The sequence below is a fragment of the Homo sapiens genome, chromosome 9 (genome assembly GCF_000001405.40).
Source record: "Homo sapiens chromosome 9, GRCh38.p14 Primary Assembly".
In the NCBI taxonomy this organism is placed as follows: Eukaryota; Metazoa; Chordata; class Mammalia; order Primates; family Hominidae; genus Homo; species Homo sapiens.
In genome coordinates this window covers 75,738,047-75,764,653 of record NC_000009.12, presented here as the reverse complement: position 1 = coordinate 75,764,653, position 26,607 = coordinate 75,738,047, and positions in this window count along the sequence as shown.

Below are 26,607 nucleotides of genomic sequence, written 5' to 3'. Positions count from 1 at the left end.
ACATCCATCTTACGAGCTGAACACTACCAATACTTTTGAAGGTGTGCTCCTCACCAACTCCATGCCCCATACTTCTTACCAGGAGTTAACGTAATGTTGAATTTTGTTTTGACCATTCTCCTGTTTTTCTTAAAAAAAAACCACTTTGTATTATTTTATAATAGCCTTACATTTACAGAAAAATCATAAAGACATTATGAACAGTTCCCATATTCCCCTTGCTCCTTTACTTAAGATGCTGTAATTTGGATTATTTTTAAATTTTTCCAAATCTAATTCATCTCATTTTTACCAAGTCTTTTTTTCCCCTTATAATATAATCCAAATTTGCTCACATTTTATACAGGATGCTAAAAAATTTACTGAAATTTTTATGTGTATTCTTCAACAAATTTGTTTTTGAGTATGTTTTTCTTTTGAGCTCTCCGAATGGTGATTTTTCCCTTTATTCAGGCAGAACTTTTTAATAGGTCTTGTATTAGTGTTTTTAGGGCTGCAGTAAGAAAGTAAAACCAACTTGGTGGCTAAAACAGCAGAAATTATTCTCTCACAGTTCTGGAAGTTGGAAGCCCAAAATCAAGGTGGTGATAGGGGTCGTCCCCCCACACCCCACCAAGCCTCTAGAGGAGGAATCTTTCTTTCTCTTCCAGCCTCTAGTAGTCTAGGAGAGCCTTGAATTGTGGCCGCATCATTCCAACCTCTGTGAGCATCTTCCATCTGTGTCTATTTTCACATGGCATTCTCCTGTGTGTTTGACTCCAAAGTTCTGTCTTCTTATAAGGACATCAGTCAGATTAAGGACCCACCCTACATTAGTATGACCTCACTTTATTTATTTTATTTATTTGGTGCGATCTCAGTTCACTGCAGCCTCTGCCTCCTCAAAAAGTGATCTCCCTACCTCAGCCTCCCAAAGAGCTGGGACTACAGGTGCACATCACCACACTCAGCTAATTTTTTGTATATTTTTAGTAGAGATGGGGGTCTTGCCATATTGCCCAGGCTTGTCTTGAAATCCTGGGCTCAAGTGATCTGCCCATCTCAGCCTCCCAAAGTGTTGGGATTACAGGTGTGAGACACCATGCCTGGCCTGACCTCACTTTGAATTAACTAACTACATTTGCAACACCCTATTCCCATATAAGTTCACACTTAGAGGTACTGGAGGTTAGGACTTCAACTGTGTCCCTTTTTGGGGAACAATATTCATATGAAGCCATAACAGGCCTCATGTTTGTTGTTCTCCTATTTATCTTTCATTCAACCTGCTCAAGCTCAGTGTTTGTCCCCAGACTGGATTATCTTTGGTCCAGCAAATTTTCCAAATCACACCTGATGGACAGCTTGACTGTGTAGTTTGTAAAAAAGTTTCTCACTTCTAGCTCCCTGCTGTTTTTGCACATGTGTCCCTTATCTTATTCTATTCCTGGTTTCTTTCTTTTCTTTTCCTCTAAGTTGACACAGAAAACTACAATAATTCAGGGGGGTGGTTCCAAGATGGCCGAATAGGAACAGCTCCAGTCTACAGCTCCCAGTGTTAGCGACGCAGAAGATGGATGGTTTCTGCATTTCAAACTGAGGTACCAGGTTCATCTCACTGGGGATTGTTGGATAGTGGGTGCAGGACAGTGGGTGCAGCGCACCGAGCATGAGCCAAAGGAGGGTGAGGCATCGCCTCATCCGGGAAATGCAAGGGGTCAGGGAATTCCCTTTCCTAGCCAAGGAAAGGGGTGACAGACAACACCTGGAAAATCGGGTCACTCCCACCCTAATACTGCGTATTTCTGACAGTCTTAGCAAACGGCACACCAGGAGATTATATCCCGCGCATGGCTCAGAGGGTCCTACAGAAAGGGAGCCTCTCTCATTGCTAGCAAAGCAGGCTGAGATCATACTGCAAGGTGGCAGTGAGGCTGGGGGAGGGGCGCCCACCATTGCCAAGGCTTGAGTAGATAAACAAAGTGGCCGGGAAGCTCGAACTGGGTGGAGCCCACCGCAGCTCAAGGAGTCCTGCCTGCCACTGTAGACTCCAACTCTGGGTGCACGGCATAGCCAAACAAAAGGCAGCAGAAACCTCTGCAGACTTAAATGTCCCTGTCTGACAGCTTGGAAGACAGTAGTGGTTCTCCCAGCGTGGAGCTTGAAATCTGAGAATGGACAGACTGCCTCCTCAAGTGGGTCCCAGATATATTTCAATTCTCGCATTGAAATATATCTGGTGTGCAACGAGAACAAAGACACAACGTACCAGAATCTCTGGGACACATTTAAAGCAGTGTGTAGAGGGAAACTGATAGCACTAAATGCCCACAAGAGAAAGCAGGAAAGATCTAAAGTTGACACCCTAACGTCACAATTAAAAGAACTAGAGAAGCAAGAGCAAACACATTCAAAAGCTAGCAGAAGGCAAGAAATAACTAAGATCAGAGCAGAACTGAAGGAAATAGAGACACAAAATCCCTTCAAAAAATCAATGAATCCAGGAGCTGGTTTTTTGAAAAGATCGGTAAAGTTGATAGACCACTAGCAAGACGAATAAAGAAGAAAAGAGAGATGAATCAAATAGACACAATAAAAAATGATAAGGGGATATCACCACCGATCCCACAGAAATACAAACTACCATCAGAGAATATTATAAACACCTCTATGCTAATAAACTAGAAAATCTAGAAATGGATAAATTCCTCGACACACACACCCTCCCAAGAATAAACCAGGAAGAAGTTGAATCTCTGAATAGACCAATAACAGGCTCTGAAATTCAGGCAATAATTAATAGCTTGCTGACCAAAAAAGTCCAGGAACAGACGGATTCACAGGCGAATTCTACCAGAGGTACAAGGAGGAGCTGGTACCATTCCTTCTGAAACTATTCCAATCAATAGAAAAAGAGGGAAACCTGCCTAACTCATTTTATGAGGCCAGCATCATCCTGACACCAAAGCCTGGTAGAGACACAACAAAAAAAGAGAATTTTAGACCAATATCCCTGATGAACATTGCTGCAAACATCCTCAATAAAATACTGGCAAACCGAATCCAGCAACACATCAAAAAGCTTACGTACTATGATCAAGTGGGCTTCATCCCTGGGATGCAAGCCTGGTTCAACATTTGCAAATCAATAAACGTAATCTAGCATATAAACAGAACCAACAACAAAAACCACATGATTATCTCAATAGATGCAGAAAAGGCCTTTGACAAAATTCAGCAGCCCTTCATGCTAAAAACTCTCAATAAATTAGGTATTGATGGGACGTATCGCAAAATAATAAGAGCTATTTATGACAAACCCACAGCCAATATCATACTGAATGGGCAAAAACTGGAAGCATTCCCTTTGAAAACTGGCACAAGACACGGATGCCCTCTCTCACCACTCCTATCCAACATAGTGTTGGAAGTTCCGGCCAGGGCAATCAGGCAGGAGAAAGAAATAAAGGGTATTCAATTAGGAAAAGAGGAAGTCAAATTGTCCCTGTTTGCAGATGACATGATTGTATATCTAGAAAACCCCATCGTCTCAGCCCAAAATCTCCTTAAGCTGATAAGCAACTTTAGCAAAGTCTCAGGATACAAAATCAATGTGCAAAAATCTCAAGCATTCTTATACACCAATAACAGAGAGCCAAATCATGAGTGAACTCCCATTCACAATTGCTTCAAAGAGAATCAAATACCTAGGAATCCAACTTACAAGGGATGTGAAGGACCTCTTCAAGGAGAACTACAAACCACTGCTCAGTGCAATAAAAGAGGATACAAACAAATGGAAGAACATTCCATGCTCATGGGTAGGAAAAATCAATATTGTGAAAATAGCCATACTGCCCAAGGTAATTTCTAGATTCAATGCCATCCCATCAAGCTACCAATGACTTTCTTCACAGAACTGGAAAAAACTACTTTAAAGTTCATATGGAACCAAAAAAGAGCCCGCATTGCCAAGTCAATCCTAAGCCAAAAGGACAAAGCTGGAGGCATCACACTACCGGACTTCAAACTATACTATAAGGCTACAGTAACCAAAACAGCATGGTACTGGTACCAAAACAGAGATATAGCCCAGTGGAACAGAACTGAGCCCTCAGAAATAATGTCACATATCTACAACCATCTGATCTTTGACAGACCTGACAAAAACAAGAAATGGGGAAAGGATTCCCTATTTAACAAATGGTGCTGGGAAAACTGGCTAGCCATATGTAGAAAGCTGAAACTGGATCCCTTCCTTACACCTTATACAAAAATTAATTCAAGATGAATTAAAGACTTAAATCTTAGACCTAAAACCATAAAAACCCTAGAAGAAAATCTAGGCAATACCATTCAGGACATAGGCATGGGCAAGGACTTCATGTCTAAAACACCAAAAGCAATGGCAACAAAAGCCAAAATTGACAAATGGGATCTAATTAAACTAAAGAGCTTCTGCACAGCAAAAGAAACTACTATCAGAGTGAACGGGCAACCTACAGAATGGGAGAAAATTTTTACAATCTATTCATCTGACAAAGGGCTGATATCCAGAATCTACAATGAACTCAAACAAATTTACAAGAATAAAACAAACAACACCATCAAAAAGTGGGTGAATGATATGAACAGACACTTCTCAAAAGAAGACATTTATGCAGCCAACAGACACATGAAAAAATGCTCATCATCACTGGCCATCAGAGAAATGCAAATCAAAACCACAGTGAGATACCATCTCACACCAGTTAGAATGGCAATCATTAAAAAGTCAGGAAACAACAGGTGCTGGAGAGGATGTGGAGAAATAGGAACACTTTTACACTGTTGGTGGGACTGTAAACTAGTTCAACCATTGTGGAAGTCAGTGTGGCGATTCCTCAGGGATCTAGAACTAGAAATACCATTTGACCTAGCCATCCCATTACTGGGTATATACCCAAAGGATTATAAATCATGCTGCTATAAAGACACATGCACGCGTATGTTTATTGCAGCACTATTCACAATAGCAAAGACTTGGAACCAACGCACATGTCCAACAATGATAGACTGGATTAAGAATATGTGGCACATATACACCATGGAATACTATGCAGCCATAAAAAAAGGATGAGTTCATGTCCTTTGTGGGGACATGGATGAAGCTGGAAACCACCATTCTCAGCAAACTATCGCAAGGACAAAAAATCAAACACCACATGTTCTCACTCATAGGTGGGAATTGAACAATGAGAACACTTGGACACAGAAAGGGGAATATCACACACCGGGACCTGTTGTGGGGTGGGGGGATGGGGAGGGATAGCATTAGGAGATATACCTAATGCTAAATGATGAGTTAATGGGTGCAGCACACCAACATGGCACATGTATACAAGTGTAACAAACCTGCACATTGTGCACATGTACCCTAGAACTTAAAGTATAATTAAAAATATATATATATATATATAAAATAAATCTACAATAATTCTTAGAATATTTGTATTATCATTAATTTCCATCTGGCTTCTTATCATTTGCTTTCTGGGATTTCTAATATCTGCCTTGTTATTGGACCATGGAGATTGGGAAGGAAAAATGGGGAAAGAGTACTTTTCAGAACCAGAAAGAGGTCTATGAATATTGGCCTAGTTTTTTTTTAACTGATTCAGAACCAGAGGTAGGGTATACAGCCAGGGTGTTCTATGAGTGGAAGCCCTATCATTTGTTTATATTTATCTCAAGTTTTGGCATTAGGTGGTCTTTCAGTCAAAGTAGAGAGGAGAGGATACACGAAGAACTGCTGTTTTTTTCCATGGGTTATTAAACATAAAGACCAGGCTGTTCAAAGGGCTTAGGAAATACTTGCTATCCATGCCACTTGGAGTCACTTGGTGCTATCCTTTTGTCACTCATCTCCTTCAAGCCTCCCTTCAAGATTTTTCATATGTAAAATAAAAGGGCAGTAAATGACACTAATTGACTATTATATATGGTTATTTTTGGATTTTTAGTCTAACTTACTTTCCACTTAGAAAAAGATATTCCGCTCAGCAACAACAATAAGAACAAACAACAACCTAATACAAAAATGGGCAAAGGAGTTGAATAGACATTTTTCAAATGGCCAATGAGCACATGAAAAGATGCTCTATATCTCTAATCACTAAGGAAATGCCAATCACACAATGAGTTACCACCTCACACCCATTAGGACGGCTATTATCAAAGCACCAGGAAATAAGAAGCATTAGTGAGGATGTGGAGAAATTGCAATCCCCATGCATTGTTCCTGGAAATGCAAAATGGTGCTGCCACTGTGGAAAACAGCACAGAGGTGCCTGAAAAAGTTAAACATAGAATTACCATATGACCCAGTAATTCCACTTCTAGGCATATACCCCAAATAATTGGAAGCAGGGACTCAAGTAGATACTTGTACACCAACATATATGCACAATAGCCAAAAGGTGAGAACAGCCCAAATGCCCATTAACATATGAATATATAAATACATTTGGTATACACATATAATATTATTCAGACTTAAAAAGGAAGGGAATTTAGATACACACTACAACATGAATTGAAAATATTATAGTATATAAAATAAGCCAGACACAAAAAACAAATATTGTATGATTTTGCTTAAATGAGATACCTAGAATAAACCAATTCATAGAGACAGAAAGTACGAGAGAGGTTACCAGGGGTTGGTGGAAGACAGAAATGCAGAGGTATGGAGTTTCTGTTTGAGATGATGACAATGTTCTGGAAATGGACAGTAGTGATGATTGCACAAAATTGTAAATACGCTTAATATCACTAAACTATATACTTAAGATGGTTAAAATGGTAAACTTATGGTTCATATATTTTACCCCAACTAATAAAACTTTCCACTCAAAAACAGAGAGTCTGTTATAGAATAGAAAGTATTGGGGCAAATTACCAGTCACCTAGGCTTCTCTTCTCCCAAATTTAAAGGAAATAGTAAGGTTCTGGGCAGCATCACAGTGAACTCTGGGGATAAAGCCAGTTGGTGAAATAGTAGTTGAGAAGAGTCACGGATAGTGACCAAGGTAAATAATTTTACTCTGTAGATAGTTTCTTACTCTCTCTTTTCTTTTTTTGAGACAGGGTCTCACTCTGTTACCCAGGCTGGAGTGCAAGAGTAAAATCATAGCTCATTGTAACCTTGAACTCGTGAGCTCAGGTGATCCTTCTGCCTCAGCCTCTCAAGTAGGTGGGCACATACCACCATGCCTGGCCAAGATTGTTTCCTTTTTAACTTTCCTCTTTAGAGTGTATATTATATATTAATATTTTGCATTTTTATATTGTTGGCAATTAGATAACTAAGTTTTTTTTTTTCTCTTAAACAGATAACTGTCAATTGGGAAAAGTACTTAACACTGCATTAGTGTCCTGCAACAAATTACCACAAATTGGGTGGTTGGTTTGTTTGTTTATGTATTTATTTAGAGACAGAGTCTCACTCTGTCACCAGGCTGGAGTGCAGTAGCATGATCTTGACTCGCTGCAACCTCCGCCTCTGGGTTCAAGCGATTCCCCTGCCTCAACCTCCCAAGTAGCTAGGACTACAGGTGCAGGCCACCACGCCTGGCTAATTTTTTGTATTTTAGTAGAGACGGGGTTTCACCATGTTGGCCAGGATGATCTCGATCTCCTGACCTCGTGGTCCGCCTGCCTTGGGCCTCCCAAAATACTGGGATGACAGGCATGAGCCACCGAGGCCGGCCTGGGTGGTTTAAAAGAGCAGAAATTTATTCTCTTGTAGTTCTGAATCCCAGAAGCCTGGAATCAGTACCATTGGTCCAAAACTAGTGTTGGCAGAGCCAGGCTTCCTCCAGAGGCTATAGGGGAGAATTATCTTGCCTCCTCCAGCTTCTAGTGGCTGCTGGCATTCTTTGCCTGTGGCCACATCATGCCAGTCTCTGCTTCCTCTTCAAATCTCCTTCTCATCTCCGCTGCATATGTAAAGTCCCCATCTGGCTTCTGTCTTGTAAGGATACATGTGATTGCATTTAGGACCTGAAGAGTAATCTCTACATCCAAACCCTTAATTTAATCATATCTGCAAAGATCCTTCTTTCTCATAAGGTGAAATTTACAGGCTCTGGAAATTAGGACCTGCTATGTGTGGAGGACAATTATTCTGCCTAAGACAATCACCTTATATGATGATCCAGCCATTGTGCACATACACACAAACACACACATACACAAATGTGGGCATTTTTTTTCCTACCAAAGGCATGTTAAAAAATCTTTATAGCAGCATGACTTATTATAGAAACTAGAACAACTCAAATATACATCAACAGTAGAATAGACGAACAAGCTGTTGTATGTATGTATGGTCATACAATAGGATATTTTGCAACAATAAGAATGAAAACACTATAACTACATACAACATGGATGAATCTCACATGTATAATGTAACTGAAAGAAGAGTAAACCCTAAAAGAGTCCACTTATGTAATATTAAAGCAGACAAAATGAATCTGCAGTGTTAAAAGTTAGGATGGTGGTTTCCTTGGAGGTGGCAATGACTGAAGAGCATGCAAGAGAGTTTTCAGAGTGCTGGCAAGATTTGTTGATCTGGGTACTAGTTGCTTAGGTAAGCTCACTTTGTGAGAGTGCATTGAGCCTCCCACTTATGATTTGTGCACATTACAAAAAAAGTACAATTAAGTGAAAAGAAAGCTAACAGTTTTCTTAGGGTCAGGCAGAATCTTCAGGGTGGTAGCCAGACAGCTAAACTCAGAAGAAGAGGAAGAGGTTCTGACTTTACATCAAAGTCAGGGTTTTAGGAGTTTGAAGTTAACCAGAGCCTAAGAACAGATAGGTAAGACAGAGGATATTTAGAGAAGTGCCAGCTCTTCTCAAATTCTTTGAGAAGATGTATCAATAAATCAATCAGTTGATAGATAAATGGATCTCTAGATAAAGTAGAGGTATGGTCTGAATATAGGGAGTTGGGTCAGTTAAGCCAAGAACTATCAAGACTATGCTGTCCACTGGTAGCCATTGGCCACATGTGGCTATTAACCACTTGAAATGTAGCCAGTACAAATTGAAATGTTCTGCTTATGAGACTTCAAAGACATAACAAAAAAAAGTGAACAATGTCTTTCTATATTGACTACATTTTGAAATAACCTTTGAGTATATTTGGTTAAATTAAATATGTAATTAAAATAAATTCTATGTGTTTTATTTAAAAAAATTCTAGAATAATTAAAATGATATTGTATGACTAACACTTGTGACTTGCATTCTATTTTTGTTAGACAGCACTGATTTAGACCACAGTAAATCTGATAAACAATTAATAGGTATATGAGCTATTGCTTGCTTGCTCTTCTGCCTAATGTAGGACATGAACAGGCCTAATTAGGTTTAACCTCACGAAGTGAATTCTAAAGAGACTGAGGTTGGTAGTGAACAAGAGAACTATTATTTGAGTTTTCGCACCTATGGGAAGCTTAATTGTTCAAAACAATGACTTCAAAACTGAGGCATCACTGCTTATGTAATCTCTTAAGAGACCCAGTGTAGAGAATATTATAAACAGTTTTTTGAGAAAAGGTAGTGTGACAAAGTGGGCAGAGAACTGTCATCGGAGTCAGGCATTTCTGAATTCAAGGGACAGAGTATTACTCACAGGCTGGGTGGCCTCAGTCCAATAACATAATTTCTGTGGACTTCGTTTGCCACAGCTATACAATGGGCTTATTAATATCTAACTAGTAAGGTGGGTGTTAGGTTTGAATTAATATATAATGTATATAGCACAGAAATGATTGTCAAAATGTGGTAGTTGCTATCATTCTTACGTTCATTAAAAAGTATAAAGCATTAGGAGATATACCTAATGTTAAATGATGAGTTAGTGGGTGCAGCACACCAATGTGGCACATGTATACATATGTAACAAACCTGCACATTGTGCACATGTACCCTAAAACTTAAAGTATAATAATAAAAAAAGAAAACATAATAAACATTTTATGGGTTTGAATCAGAAAAATTCTAAGAGTTTTTTTTGTTTTGTTTTGTTCTTTGTTTTTGTAGATTCTTAGGATACTTTAGACAAATCTTGGGCCATCCAAACCTTTGGTTTCCCTGGCAAATAATGAAGATAAGCTCACATGGAAAGCCAGGCCACAGGACGTCTTCTCTTTCTCCTTGTGTACATTTAGCTTCAAGGAATTGGTTCCTGGATCACAAAGAATTACTCTGCATTTAAGCACTCAGCAATGGCAATTCACTCCTTCTAGTCCCACATGTGGGCAGGCCGCCCCATCAGTCATTCTCACATTCACCTATCAACGTGTCATTGCAGTATGAGAGATCTGTTTTGGCAGGCTCGCTGCAGGGTACATGTAATCAGTGGAGACACCACACTTAACTGTGATTGATGCCAGTCTTTTGACAATTTCTCTGCCAGACCCCTCCATCATTCGGTGGCAATGTTTTCCTGAGTGCTAAATAATTTCTCTGAATTATCACAGCCACTTTGTAGACCAAGTTGCACAGATGTCTTTTGTCACAGATGCACTGGGAAGGGCTTTTACCTTGTATGTGCCTTTTCTTCTTAACCTCGGATGCTTGTTTCCATGCTTGTACCGCTTTCTCTATTCATCACAGATTTTTTTTTCGAGGTAAATAAAAGGGATATTATAATTGGTCTAGTTGGGCAGATGTCTGAAACTATTTCCAATTCTTCATTTGGCTGGTGACATGGCTGGTGGCATGACCTTAAAAATATAATTATTACTATGCCTTTGTATTTTTCTTCTTTTAGACATCATGACTTTTAAGAATTTGAGATTTTATACAGATTCAAATAAGGTGTCCTCTCTTATAATCTGGCATTTGATGTTGGCCATAGAGGCCTTCTAAATTTGGACTTGAGTGAGAATGGCCTCAGTTTCTCCCTTTCCTTTTCCCAAGATCCCAGCCCCAGCTCTAAACCCAGAGGTATAACTGTGATGAGACCATTAGTAGATGACAAATTCTGATGGCCCCAGCAACTCCTCCGTTATGCAGAGAGACCTATAACTGAAAGCTAGAGCTATGCACAATAAAATACTTGCTTGGGCTGGGTGGGTGAATCGCCTGAGGTCAGAAGTTCAAGACCAGCCTGGCCAACATGGTGAAACCCCGTCTCTATTAAAAATACAAAATTAGCCGGGCATGGTGGTGTGTGCCTGTAATCCCAGCTACTCTGGGGGCTGAGGCAGGAGAATCGCTTAGAACCTAGGAGGCAGAGGTTGCAGTGAGCTGAGATCATGCCACTGCACGCCAGTCTGGGCGACAGAGCGAGACTCTGTCTCAAAAACAACAACAACGACAACAACAGAAACACTTGGCTGATCCTCTTTATGAAAAATGAACAGCACTTTCATTTGATGATATCCAAAGAGTCATTGAAAAAGAGGGAGAGCCAAGTTCAAATTAATGGGACATATTCTAACAACTAAAAGGCGATAGGTGGTTAACTTCACCTTCCACTCAAGATCAACCATTGCTCCTAGCACACTCTCTCTTCCTTGAAGCAAAAAATACCGATTGTTGCTTCTAAATGTCTGATTAGTGTCCTTCTTTCTCTTCTATACCCTCCTGCAAATCTCAGTGAATAAAAATTAGAATTCATACAAATTCTCAGGAAAACATGGACATGCCCATTTAGGATGACTTTAAGGAATAAATAAAGTACCAAGGAGAGTAAAATGTAATCTTTTCTTCTTAAATATGTATTTTTAGAACTCTGTCTCAAGTCTAACATCATCTGAAAAGGCTGTGCTAATAATTTTACCTGTCAAGTGTTTCTTTACCATTTTTTGCTTTAAAAATGTTCTAAGACCCCAATAATATTATAATACACACTCTCATTCTCTATTTACATGAACCATATTACTTTCCCACATGAGGTGGGACTCTATAGTGGGATGGGAAAACTTTTTCCATAAAGGGGTGGAGAGTAATTATTTTAGACCTTGCAATGCAAGAGGCAGTGCCCTCAACAGTTGGAGCAACTTTTCTCACCAAAAGCTAATCATCTTTTTTTTTTTTTAAATAATAGCTTTATTCAGACATAATTCACATGCTATACAGTTCTCCAACTTAAAGTGTGAAATGCAACGGTTGTTCTAAAATTTATTGTGGTGATGTTTGCACAGAGTTGTGCAAACATTTTCATCACCCCCAAAATAACCTTGTACCTAATAGCAGTCACAACCAATTTTTACTCAAAACCCCCTAGTCTTAGGTAACCACTAATCTATTTTATGTCTCCATATATTTTCCTATCCTGGATGTTTTATATAAATAGAATCATATAATACATGATCTTTTGTAGCTGGTTTCTTTCACTTAACATAATGTATTCAAGCTTACTCTGTGTTATAATGTGTGTCCGTAATTGCTTTTTTTTATTGCCAAGTAATATTCCATTGTATGGATATACCACATTTTATTTACCTATTTATTAACCAACAGGCATTTGAGTTGCTTCTACTTTTTGGCTATTATGAATAATGCTGCTGTTAATATTAGTATACAAGTTTTTTTGTGTGTGTTTGTGTGGACATGCATTCTCAATTCTCTTGGATATATACCTAGGAGTAGAATTGCTGGATCCCATAGTTATTCCTTGTTTAAATTTGGATGAATGGCCAGACCATTTTCCAAAGTGGCTGTACCATTTTACATTCATACCAGTAGTGTATGAAATTTCCCCTTTCTCTAAATCCTTGCTAACACTTGTTATTCTCCATCTTTTTTTTTTAATTACAGCCATCCCAACACAAATCAAGTGGTATCACTTGGTTTTGATTATCATTCTACTAATGACTAATGGTGTTGAGCATCTTTTCATGGGATTATTGGCCTTTTGAATATCTTCTTTGGAGAAATTTCTAGCCGGATCCTTTGATATTTTAAATTGGGTATTTGTCTTTTTATTTTTGAGTTGTTGGAGTTTCTTATATTTTTTTTAATGCAAGCCACTTATTAGATATATGATTTGCAAATCTTTTCTCTCATTTTATCTTCTCATTTATCCTTTCTTCCTTTGAAGTACAAAAGTTTTAATTTTGATGAAGTTCAATTTATCTGTTTTTTCTTTTATTACTTGGGTTTTAGGTGTCCTATCTGAGAAACTGTTGCCTAATCCAAGGTCATGAAGATGATGTCTCTCTTTTCCTCTGAGCATTTTATAATCTTAGTTCTTATATTTGGATCTAGAATCCATTAAGTTAATTTTTGTGTATGATGTGAGATAAGCACCTGACTTTATTATTTTCCATGTGGATATCTGTCCCAGTACCATTTGTCAAAAAGGCTTATTTCCCCATGGAATTATTTGGCACCCTTGTCAAAGTCAGTTGACCATATATGTACATGGATTTATCTTTGGAATCCCTCATTCAATTAATCTGTTTATCTATCCTTATGCTAGCACTGCATAGACTAGTGTAGCTATGTAGTAAGCTTTGAAATTGAGAAGTGTGAGTCCTTCAACTTTGTTCTTCTGTTTTAAGATCATTTTGTTTTGGTTATTATGGGTCCCTCTAGTTTCCACGTGCATTTTGGAAGCAACTTAGTAATTACTGCAAAAAAGCCAGCTAGAATTCTGATAGAGATTGCATTTAATCTATCGATCAATTTTGGGAGCATTGTCATCTTAACAATGTTAAATATTCTGGTCCATGAAATAAAATACCTTTTATTTAGGTCTTCTTTAATTTCTTTCAACAATATTATGTTGTTTTCAGAATTTAACTTTTGACTTTTTTGGTTAATATTATTCCTTAGTTTTTATTCTTTTTGATGCTTTGTAAATGAAATTATTTGTTTTATTAATTTAATTTTTGAGTTGTTCATTGTAGTATATAGAAATATACTGGGAATATAGTTGGAAATAGTTAAGATGTGGAATCAATCTGTGTCCATCAATGGATGAATAAAGAAAATGTGGTATATTTATAGAAAATGGAATACCATTCCACCTTTAAAAGGAGGGAAATATTTTTCTTTTGTGGCAACATGAATGAATCTGAAGGACATTATGTTAAGAGAAATAAGCCAGACACAGATACCACATGATCTCATATTTGGAGTATAAGACAGTTGAACTCATGGAAGCAGAGTAAAATGGTGGTTATCAGAAGGGGGTGGGGAAATTGAGGAAATGTTGACCAAATGACACAAAATTTCTGTTGAACATGAGAAATAAGTTCAAGAGATCTACTGTATGTCAGGTACAGTTAATACCGATATATTACATACTTGAAAATTGCTAAAAGAAAATTGCTAAAAGAATATATTTGAAGTATTCTTATCACAAAAAATGACAAGTAAGTGAGGCAATGCATACATTAAGTAGCTTGATTTAGCCATTACACAATGTATACATACGACTAAACACGTTAAACACCATATATATAATCTTTACTCCTCAAAATAAGCAAAATACTTAAAAAAAGAATTACAATTTAATTTTGTACATTGATCTTGTATCCTGCAACCTTAGTGAACTTGTTTATTACTTCTAATACTTTTAGTGCATTCCTAGGATTTTGTATATGCAATACGATATCTGTTAATATAGTTTTACTTATTACTTTTCAATCTGGATGACTTCTATTTCTTTCACTTGTTGAATTAGTTTGTTTAAAATCTTTAGTACAAAGTTCAATAGAAGTGGTGACAGGGGACATCCCTGTCTTGTTATTAAACTTATGTGAATTGGTTTTGTTTTTTCATTATAATTATGATGTTAGCTGTGGGTTAGTGGCCCTTTATCAGGTTGAGGAAGATGCTTTTTCTGCATCTATTTAGGTTATAAAGTGGTCTTTGTTCTTCTATGAATATGGTGAATTACATTGATTGATTTTCATATGTTGAAGCAGCCTTGCATTTGGTGATAGATCCCACTTGGTCATGGTGTATAATCACTTCATTTTCAGCTAAATTTGTTTGCTAGTATTTTCTTGAGGAGTTTTGTGTTTGTGTTCACAAGGATATTGGTCTGTAGATTCCATTTCTTGTGATGTCTTTATCTGGTTTTGGTATTAGGATAATACTGGTTACAAAGAATGAGTTGGAAAATATTCCCTCTTCTTTTATTTTTTAGAAGAATTTGTGAAGTATTGGTGTTAATTTTTCTTTAAATAGTTGTTAGAATTCCCTGGTGAATTTATCTGTCCCTGAGCTTTCTTTTGTGATTTTTTTGTTTATTTGTTTACTGGCTCAATCTCTCTATTTGTTAGACATCTATTACAATTTTCTAATGCTTCTTGAGCTCAGTTTTGGTAGTTGTGTCTTCTTAGGAATTTATCCATTTCAACTAACTGATCTAACTTGTTAGCATGCAATTGTTCATAGCATTTTCTTATAATTACTTTTTTTTTTTTGAGGAGTCTTGCTCTGTTGCCCAGGCTGGAGTGCAGTGGCATGATCTTGGCTTACTGCAATATCCACCTCTCGGGCTCAAGAGATTCTCCTGCCTCAGCCTCCCAAGTAGCTAGGACTACAAGCACACACCACCAGGCCCAAATAATTTTTGTATCTTTTAGTAGGGATGGGGTTTCGCCATGTTTGCCAGGTTGGCCTTGAGCTCCTGACCTCAGGCAATCCACCTGCCTTGGCCTCCCAGAGTGCTGGGATTACAGGTGTGAGTCATCGTATGGCCACCTTATAATTACTTTTATATCTTAAGTATGATAGTTATGTGCCCTCTTTTATTCCTCATTTTGGTAATTTGAGCCTTCTATATTTTGTGTTTGGCCAGTGTACTAGTCCGTTTTACAGTTCCACATGGTTGGGAGGCCTCAGAATCATGGCAGGAGGTGAGAGGCACTTTTTACATAGTGGCAAGAGAAAATGAAGAGGAAGCAAAAGCAGAAAGCCCTGATAAACCTATGAGATCTTGTGAGACTTAGTCACAATCATGAGAATAGCAAGGGAAAGACTGGCCCCCATGATTCAGTTACCTCCCGCTGTGTCCCTCCCTCAACATGTGGGAATTCTGGGAGATAAAATTCAAGTTGAGATTTGAATGGGGACACAGCCAAGCCATATCATTCCCCCCCCGACCCCTCCAAACCTCCTGTCCTCACATTTCAAAACCAGTCGTGCCTTCCTAACAGTCCCCCAAAGTCTTAACTCATTTCAGCATTAACTTGAAAGTTCACAGTCCAAAGTCTCATCTGAGACAAGGCAAGTCCCTTCTGCCTATAAGCCTGTAAAATCAAAAGCAAGTTACTTACTTCGTAGATACAACGGGGGTACACGTATTGGGTAAATACAGCCATTCCAAAGGGGGAGAAATTGGCCAAAACAAAGGGGTTACAAGGCTCATGCAAGTCTGAAATCCAGCAGGGCAGTCAAATTTTAAAGCTCCAAAATGATCTCCCTTGACTCCATGTCTCACATCCAGGTCATGCCTATGCAAGAGGTGGGTTCCCATGGTCTTGGGCAGCTCTGCCCCTGTGGCTTGCAGGGTACAGCCTCCCTCCAGGCTGCTTTTGCTGGCTGGTGTTGAGTGTCTGTGGCTTTTCCAGGTGCATGGTGCAAGCTGTCAGTGAACCTATCATTCTGGGGCCTGGAGGACAGCGGCCTTCTTCTCAAAGATCCATTAGGCAGTGCCCCTGTAGGGACTCTGTGTGGGGGTTCCAACCCCACATTTCCCTTCTGCACTGCCCTAGCAGAGATTCTCCATGAGGGCCCCACTCCTGCAGCAAAGTTTTGCCTGGACATTCACACATTTCCATACATCTTCTGAAATCTAGGCAGAAGTTCCCAAACCTCAATTCTTGACTTCTTTGCACTCGCAGCTCAACACCACGTGGAAGCTACCAAGGCTTGGGGCTTCCAACCTCTGAAGCCACAGCCCAAACTGTATGCTGGCCCCTTTCAGACACAGCTGGAGAGGCTGGGACACAGGGCACCAAGTCCCTAGGCTGCACACAGCATGGGGACCCTGGGCTTGGCCCACAAAACCACTTTTTCCTCCTGGGGCTCTGGGCCTGTGATGAGAGGGGCTGCTGTGAAGGTCTCTGACTTGCCCAGGTTACATTTTCCTCATGGTCTTGGGGATTAACGTTAGGCTTCTTGCTACTTTGGCATACAGTCAAAAATCATGTCAAACCATTGTAAGTCCAGATGCTCCTAAACTTACAATGGGATTACATCTGGATAAACCCATCATAACATGGAAAAATCATTGTTAAGTCATTGTAAGTCAAGAATTGACTTATAGGCATTTTCAGCTATAAATTTATCCCTGAGCACTGCTTTAGTTGCATCATATGAATTTTACTATATTGTTTTCATATTTATTTATATCAAAGTATGCCTTAATTTTCTTTGTTTTCTTCTTTGCTCATGGGTTTTTCAAGAGTGTGTTAATTTTCACATATTGGTGAACTTCCCAAATTTATTTCTGTTATTGATTTCTAATTTCTGTCTATTGTGATTGGAGAACATACTTTGTATGATTGCAATGCTTTTTTTAAATATATATATATTTATTATACTTTAAATTCTAGGGTACTTATGCACAACATGCAGGTTTGTTACATATGTATACATGTGACTTTAACTCATCATTTACATTAGGTATATCTCCTAATGCTATCCCTCCCCCATCCCCCCACCCCACAACAGGCCCTGGTGTGTGATGTTCCCCTTCCTGTGTCCATGTGTTCTCATTGTTCAATTCCCACCTATGAGTGAGAACATGTGGTGTTTGGTTTTTGTCCTTGCGATAGTTTGCTGAGAATGATGGTTTCCAGCTTCATCCATGTCCCTACAAAGGACATGAACTCATCCCTTTTTATGGCTGCATAGTATTCCATGGTGTATATGTGCCACATTTTCTTAATCCAGTCTATAATTATTGGACATTTAGGTTGGCTCCAAGCCTTTGCTATTGTGAGTAGTGCCAGAATAAACATACGTGTGCATGTGTCTTTATAGCAGCATGATTTATAATCCTGTGGGTATATACCCAGTAATGGGATGGCTGGGTCAAATGGTATTTCCAGTTCTAGATCCCTGAGGAATCGCCACACTGTCTTCCACAATGGTTGAACTAGTTTACAGTCCCACCAACAGTGTAAAAGTGTTCCTATTTCTCCACATCCTCTCCAGCACCTGTTGTTTCCTGACTTTTTAATGATTGCCATTCTAACTGGTGTGAGATGGTATCTCATGGTGGTTTTGATTTGCATCTCTCTGATGGCCAGTGATGATGAGCATTTTTTCATGTGTCTGTTGGTTGCATAAATGCCTTCTTTTGAGAAGTGTCTGTTCATATCCTTCACCCACTTTTTGATGGGATTGTTTGTTTTTTTCTTGTAAATTTGTTTGAGTTCTTTGTAGATTCTGGATATTAGCCCTTTGTCAGATGAGTAGATTGCAAAAGTTTTCTCCCATTCTGTAGGTTGCCTGTTCACTCTGATGGTAGTTTCTTTTGCTGTGCAGAAGCTCTTTAGTTCAGTTAGATCCCATTTGTCAATTTTGGCTTTTGTTGCCATTGCTTTTTGTGTTTTAGACATGAAGTCCTTGCCTATGTCTATGTCCTGAATGGTATTGCCTAGGTTTTCTTCTAGGGTTTTTATAGTTTTAGGTCTAACATTTAAGTCTTTAATCCATCTCGAATTAATTTTTGTATAAGGTGTAAGGAAGGGATCCAGTTTCAGCTTTCTACTTATGGCTAGCCAGTTTTTCAGCACCATTTGTTAAATAGGGAATCCTTTCCCCATTTCTTGTTTTTGCCAGGTTTGTCAAAGATCAGATAGTTGTAGATACATGGCAGTATTTCTGAGGGCTCTGTTCTGTTCCATTGGTCTATATCTCTGTTTTGGTACCAGTACCATGCTGTTTTGGTTACTGTAGACTTGTAGTATAGTTTGAAGTCAGGTAGTGTGATGCCTCCAGCTTTGTTCTTTTGGCTTAGGATTGACTTGGCAATGCGGGCTCTTTTTTGGTTCCATATGAACCTTAGTTTTTTCCAATTCTGTGAAGAAAGTCATTGGGAGCTTGATGGGGATGGCATTGAATCTAGAAATTACCTTGGGCAGTATGGCCATTTTCACGATATTGATTCTTCCTATCCATGAGCATGGAATGTTCTTCCATTTGTTTGTATCCTCTTTTATTGCACTGAGCAGTGGTTTGTAGTTCTCCTTGAAGAGGTCCTTCACATCCCTTGTAAGTTGGATTCCTAGGTATTTGATTCTCTTTGAAGCAATTGTGAATGGAAGTTCACTCATGATTTGGCTCTCTGTTTGTCTGTTATTGGTGTATAAGAATGCTTGTGATTTTTGTACATTGATTTTGTATCCTGAGGATTTGCTGAAGTTGCTTATCAGCTTAAGGAGATTTTGGGCTGAGATGATGGGGTTTTCTAAATATACAATCATGTTATCTGCAAACCAGGGACAATTTGACTTCCTCTTTTCCTAATTGAATACCCTTTATTTCTTTCTCCTGCCTAATTGCCCTGGCCAGAACTTCCAACACTATGTTGAATAGGAGTGGTGAGAGAGGGCATCCCTGTCTTGTGCCAGTTTTCAAAGGGAATGCTTCCAGTTTTTGCCCATTCAGTATGATATTGGCTGTGGGTTTGTCATAGATAGCTCTTATTATTTTGCGATACGTCCCATCAATACCTAATTTATTGAGAGTTTTTAGCATGAAGGGCTGTTGAATTTTGTCAAAGGCTTTTTGTGCATCTATTAAGATAATCATGTGGGTTTTGTCTTTGGTTCTGTTTATATGCTGGATTACGCTTATTAATTTGTGTATGTTGAACCAGCCTTGCATCCCAGGCATGAAGCCCGCTTGATCATGGTGGATAAGCTTTTTGATGTGCTGCTGGATTTGGTTTGCCAGTATTTTATTGAGGATTTTTGTTGCTTTTAAATTTACTGCGGCTTGTTTCATGACCTACTATATGTATCGTTTGGAGAATAATGTGCACTTGAGAAGAATGTGTAGCCTTCTATTGTTGAGTAGTGTGTTATAGATGTCTGTCATGTCTAGTTTTATAGACTTATTCAAATTTTCTATGTTCTTTATTGGTCTTCTGCCTGGTTGTTCTATCCATCATTGAGGGAGAAGTATTAAAGTCTTTAGCTTTATTATTGAATTGTGTGTTGCTCAGTTTAATTATGTCAGGTTTTGACTTGTGTATTTTGGGCCTCTGTTGTCAGATGCATATATGTTTCTAATAGTTAAATCTTCATGGATCCTTTCATTGTTACATTATTAGGCTTCACTAATTTCCACCAAATTGCTCTGTTGCTTTTGGCAATGCTCTTGGGCTTAAATTTTCCCCCAAGCTAGTCCAGTTAAACTCAGGGCCGTTTTCAGGGGCAAATTTTGAGGCCAGTCTTTGGGGTTTCTTTTAATCCCAGGAGGACTCGCTGGGTTTTTTAATTTTTTTTATTTTTTTTATTTTTTTTTTGGTTCTCTCTGGTAAACTAGCAGTCCTGTGATTTACTTGATGCTCTCATGGAGCTAGCAGCTTCCTCTTAACTGCATACCACTAAAGTCTCCATTGTCTTTTAGAATGCCTTTAGGCTTGAACTTCCCTACACTGTTTCAGATAAAATCAGTTTCTTTTGGGGAGAGCCTCAGAGTTCTCTGTTCTTTTGTATTACCTCTTCCCTTACACAAAACTCAGAGCTATGCTCCAGAGCTGAAAGCAGGAATAATACTCCTGGTTTACAAACAGGGCTCTGGGCAGTAATGTTAACCTCTGCTATTTCAGCTTGTCTATTGTGGCATAAAATCTCTGCCTTGTAGGTGAGGTGGTCTACTATGCCTGGCACAGATAGATCCTCTGCCCTATGAGTAGGGGTTATCTGGAAAAAGAGAGCCTTGACCTCTTTGCCACATTTGACAAGAATTTAGCCTCTGTGGCTGGGCATGGTGGCTCACACCTGTAATCCTAGCACTTTGGGAGGCCACGGCAGGCAGATCACTTGAGGTCAGGAGTTCGAGACCAGCCTGGCCAAGATGGTGAAACTCCGTCTCTACTGAAAATACAAAAATTAGCCGGGGGTGGTGGCATGTGCTCAAGTTCCACAAACTCTGACTCATTTTTACCAAGATTTAGTAAATGTTCTTCGTTAAATGTTCCTTCATTTTGGTGTATACAATTAAGACACTTTCCAGCAGCTTTAAATGTTTTTGTTTGATTTTGGTGTTAATGTTTTTCACCAGTTATAGTTGTTTTGCTGAGGAACAGATCCATAGAGATTCTCATGCCATGACTCCAGACATAAAATCCCTTAATATTTTGCAATTTTACATTTAAAATGGAGAAACTATTCTTAGCTCACAGGCCATAGAAAAACAGAAAATGGGCTAGATTTGGCCTGCAAGCTATAGTTTGCTATTCCCTGCTCTATACTAACGATGCTGATTTCCATGTCATTTGTGGCACCTGCATCAAAATTTTATAGTCGTACTTTACATTTGAGAATTTTAAATACACTTTTTTCCTGCTATAGGTGAAGGATTTTATTCATCTGGGTATATACTCTCATTTTTATACTGAGGGTTACATAATTCTGGCCTTACCAGCTGTACCAGGTGTTTGAGCAGTAAGGAGAGTAAGGAAGTAAAAAAGAACTCCTTCCATGCCTGCCATGGCAAGACTGCTCTTCTTTTTCTGATAATTAGTACTGCAAATTTAGCTCATTATCTATAAGTTCTGCAAGGACTGGTAATTTCTTCAATAAGACCTGGTCATTAAGAGCTAATTCTCAGTGATCAGATAGTTGTGTAAGAACTTTGATGTCCAGCTGGAGGACCTACACCGTGGTCCTCTGATACTCTACCCCCATTTTCCATGTAGTGGTTCCCAGCAGTCTGCAGCCTCCAAGCTCATCATTCCTCTGCGGTCCCAATTCAGAAAGGCATGAAGAAAGGAAAGCGTCTACTTTTATACTCCTCAAAAACATAACTTTGGGAGCGGTTGCGTTGCTTATCTTCTGTTGACATCATGATTCCTCATCCCTCCAGTGGTCTTTCCACTGCTCTGGGAGATGCCACCAGGCTCAGTAGCTAGGAAGATATGCCACCAGGCTCAGTAGCTAGGAAGATATACCACCATGAAGTCTGATGCCAGGATCCCATTCTTGAAGGGATCCCATTCAGACTTTAAAAACATTTATCATGAAGGACCTTCCTCTTATCTTCCAGGCTAGTGGGAGAGTGGGGACCAGTTTTGAGAATTCTCTCATAGCCCATGAGAAGAGGAACAAAGGAGACACTACACTTTCCCCAGAAGTTTTGTTACCCTCCCAGCCATTTTACATATTAAGTAGTCCATTAGCTGTGGCTGTGGTGGGAGTGCTCACTATGCCAAGATGACGTCTCTCAATAAATCCTGTGGGTTGTTATCTCATTCCTAAAACTTGCAGGACTTTGAAATTATCATGGAGCACGTAGTCCCCTTTGTTCTCATCTGCGGGGTTTAACCATTTTCCAAAATAAGGATGATCTTCATAATAGTCTCACCCACCAACTTTGAGATTATGATTTTCATTTACCATGTCATCCTATTGTATATATCAAAAACATAGTAAAAAGTCTATCAGAAAATTATTGAGAGCTGATTATGTATATGACACATAAGAAAGAAATAATTTCTGTTTTTGGTTAATCATTAGAGCAACAATAGGTAGAGTTCATGTTAGCCAGATAGAACAACATCTAAGGTAATATAAATTTGATGACTAAATTGAGCTGAACAAATGTATCTCTTAACAATTTGGTAGAGATATCTTGCTACCTATTTAGGAAATAGGTTGTCCCCTCATTGCTGACTAAATCCACATCATTGTCCTCTCCCTGCCATGGATCACTTTTTAGTATGTCATCTCACAGATTTCCAAGACATCAGTTCTTCTTTGAACAGTAGCCACAACAATGATTTCAGAAAAGGTGAGGTTAAGGAGTGGGAGTGAGGTAGGGGAAAACTGTTTTCTTCTTTACTAATGTGCTAAGCATGGACACAATTATTTACACACTATGCTGCCCAAACCAATCAAAAATCTTCAGCAAAATGTTACTGAAAACTTTGGTATAACAGGAGAGAATTACATCACACAGGAACTCAAGTCCAGATAGTAGATATGACTGATCTCATATCCATAAAGGTCAAGCCCCTTTCCTTGGGACCCTTCTTGGATACTTCACAGTCCAGCTCTGAGTCTACTTCCATGTGGAGAAAGCTGGCCAACCTATCTGGAAATGAGAGAGAGAGAGAACAAGCTCTAGGTCCTCTTGTGTCCAAGGCCATAATCACCTGCTTCAAAGCTGCTTTCTGAGTCCTCATTTTGTGGCCTAGATCCTGCTCCTTCTGAGATAATTGGCTTTTGGGACACTCACTGTTTTCATTGTCAGGAAAAACAACAATAACAACAACAAAAACTAATGCTTTTTACCCATGGTAGTTATCCTTGGCCTTACCCTAGGATTATCCCTTCAGGATTATGTATCACATCACAAATACCTAATATCAACACTTTCATCCATATCTAGAAAATTTGGTTTGGAATAACATTGCTGAGGGATACAACTTTAATATATGGCTCTTTTTGGGTGTCAGCAATCAAAATCATCCGGCAGCTTTATGCTTCTTCTACTAGCATAAGATAAGAGTATGTCCCTGAATTATCCCTGTCATCTTCTGGATTCTAATCCCAGTTGTCTGTGGGTAACTGCTTGAATGAGAACACATACACATTTCGAAAGCAATTTCAAATGAAGTGTAATTATAATCCACATTTATGAAAAAAATTCTAAAGGAAGTCATATCTAGAGATTAGACTTCACCACAAGGAATATAAATTTGATATTTTAATAACATTACTTAGACTCCTTGCTTTTTTTTTTCCTTTTCACTACCAAAAGTCTATAGCAATGGGTTTTATAAAAAAGGACTATTTGCTCCAAAGAGCAAGTCAAAGTTCCCAACTTCTCATAACACTTGAAAGTTTGAGATTATGATTCTTCCATTAATGTTTCAAAACTCCAATTCAGTTTTAGGATACAATTTCAAAAATGCTCTTAGCAACTTCTGTAGAAAAAAGGATTCCCAAGTATAAGAATGCTGAGTCTTTCAGTGCAGGCGGTAGATCAGTCTCCACCTGCCACAGCCAACCCCAGGGGACCCAGTCTTCCACTGGCAGCCTGAACAGAAGTAATATCCCTTCCAGCTAGAGCCAGATCCTTCTGACTTCCTCAGTCTTCAAACTCGTGGGAACTGGTTAGCACAGAGTAACCCAGGCCCTCCCTACTAAATGTGTTAAAACCAATTGCTAAATCTACAAATCAGGCTTGCATAACAAAATACTATTTAGTGCAAGAAATATTTCTGTAACTATAACACCAGCTCTTTAAAAATATCTTAAATTCCAAAGACTAAGAGTTTTTAATGAAATGAGTTCAGGTAAGCAGATTTTTCAAAAAACGTTCAGCCCAGCAACCAGCCCCGAGTTTGACAGACCTGAACTGCACAGTTCTTGAGGGATCTCAATGCCTGAGTGAGCCTCCCAAGTTGCCTTGCTAACTCCCAAAGTGAGAGTCAGGCCTGGCAGAAGAGAGCATAAGTTATTCCAAGTCTGCACAATCACACACTTTTTTTCTCAAATCCTTGGTCTCCAGGGACTACCTTGCAAGAGGAAAAGTTAATTTGCCATAACACATTTAATAAAGAAAAGACAACATAGAAAATCCTCTTTTAATCACATTGCATACTCAAGACACATTTTATGGTAAGAATTGCTAAATTTAAACCACAGACAAGGACACTTAAAATTTTCATTTATGGAAACAAAAAGATTTGTCCATTTTTTTTTTTCAGTAAACATTTGATACGTATCTCCTCTTCACCAGGCATTGGACAAGGCACTGGCAAGATTGTAAGGGAAGAGTTTTGCTCTTGGTTGCCAGAGATGCATATTGTTAAACAGGAAACACACATGCAGTTTCCACTAGTATCTGATAGAATAAAGCAAATACCAGATAAAGGTACAAGCAAAATACTACAGACGTGCAGAAGTATTATAATAATAAAGACGATGATGATAAGGGTAATGATAAAATATGAACAATATGATAGCTACATTTTTTTTAAACACAGTGTGCTTGGCTAAGGGATTTATATGCATTGTTGTATTGTGTCTTCACTACAATCTTATGTGACAGATACTATTATCATCTCCATTTCACAAATTCAGAAACTGAGACGTGCAGAGAAAGGCATTGCTGACTGAATTTGAAGCAGGCAGGGAGATTCCAAAGAGGGATATTATTTAAGGCATAACCTGGGAGGATGAATGGGATTTAGACAGATGGAGGAGGATAAAGGGAGAAGGAAGGCTGTGTAGGTCAAGGAAACGACACAGAAATAAATAGTAAGCAAAATTAAGGGGCAATTGTGTTGAGAATGGAGACATGGTAGCGTTAAAAATGATATTCAGTACTTAAAACCTCTGGAATGATATCATACAAACTGCAGACTCTCAACAAACACAATGTTGTAGATGAAGTGAGTGGAGTACTTGGCACCAGTCACATGCTTTTACTTCTACTGGGCTGCGTTAATTGATATATGCTTTTTGTTCATGCCAAAGGCACTTTTATTATTATTTTTGATCCCTTAACTTGTTTGATAATTTCTTTTCTTTTCCCCGTAAACAGAAAGAAAATGCAATCACAGGTGAACAATAGGCTGGCTTCCCAAACAAAAGCTTGAAATGTGAAAGATGAAAAAAATCTATCTTGTCAGCATGTCAGCAAAATTGAATGAAAGTTGCCATACAGCAACAGATAGAAAACTCTTGAGGGTAAATGAAAGACATAAAACGTCAGTTCCAGTGATAGGAGAAGTGAACCAATCTTTCATGTGTACCTTCTTTGCACCATTATTATACCTCAATTATCTCTTCTAACTCTGCCGACGTGGCACTAGTATTCCTGTTTTACAGATGAGAAAACTGACACCTATGGGCATAAAATCCTTGCCTGAAATCACTGCAGTTAGCAATGGCAGACTGAAGATTTGAAACCCTGTCTATCTAACTCCAAATCTTATGTTCTTGCCATTATGATCTGTTGCCTCCATGAGAACTAATAGTCATTTAGGGTCTTATAGCAGAGTCTTCATATATTATAAATATTATGTATTATATATAATATGAATATTTAAGATTTCATATATTACTTTAAACCATTAAACCAGTTAAGCTTTGTGATCCCATAGCAGGTCTTCATTTTTAAGTACTCGAAAAACAGTAATGAGGGAAACAGAGGTAGAAGATTGGCTCTATTTACCAGTGTTGGTGCAGTTAATGAGAAGTATGAAAAAAATTTGTAAGCATACTCCAACTATTAAATACTTTTAGGAGTTTTAGTACTTTTAAAGGTTGTCTTCAGGCTAAAAGGTTTGTCTTAAAAAAACAAAAAAGGAACCGTAAATGCTGTTTGTTGAATTTGGGGAACACAACAGATGAACCCAAGATGCACAGAATGTTTTCATTGCTTGCAGGACTGCTTCTGACCAGTTGCTACCCACTG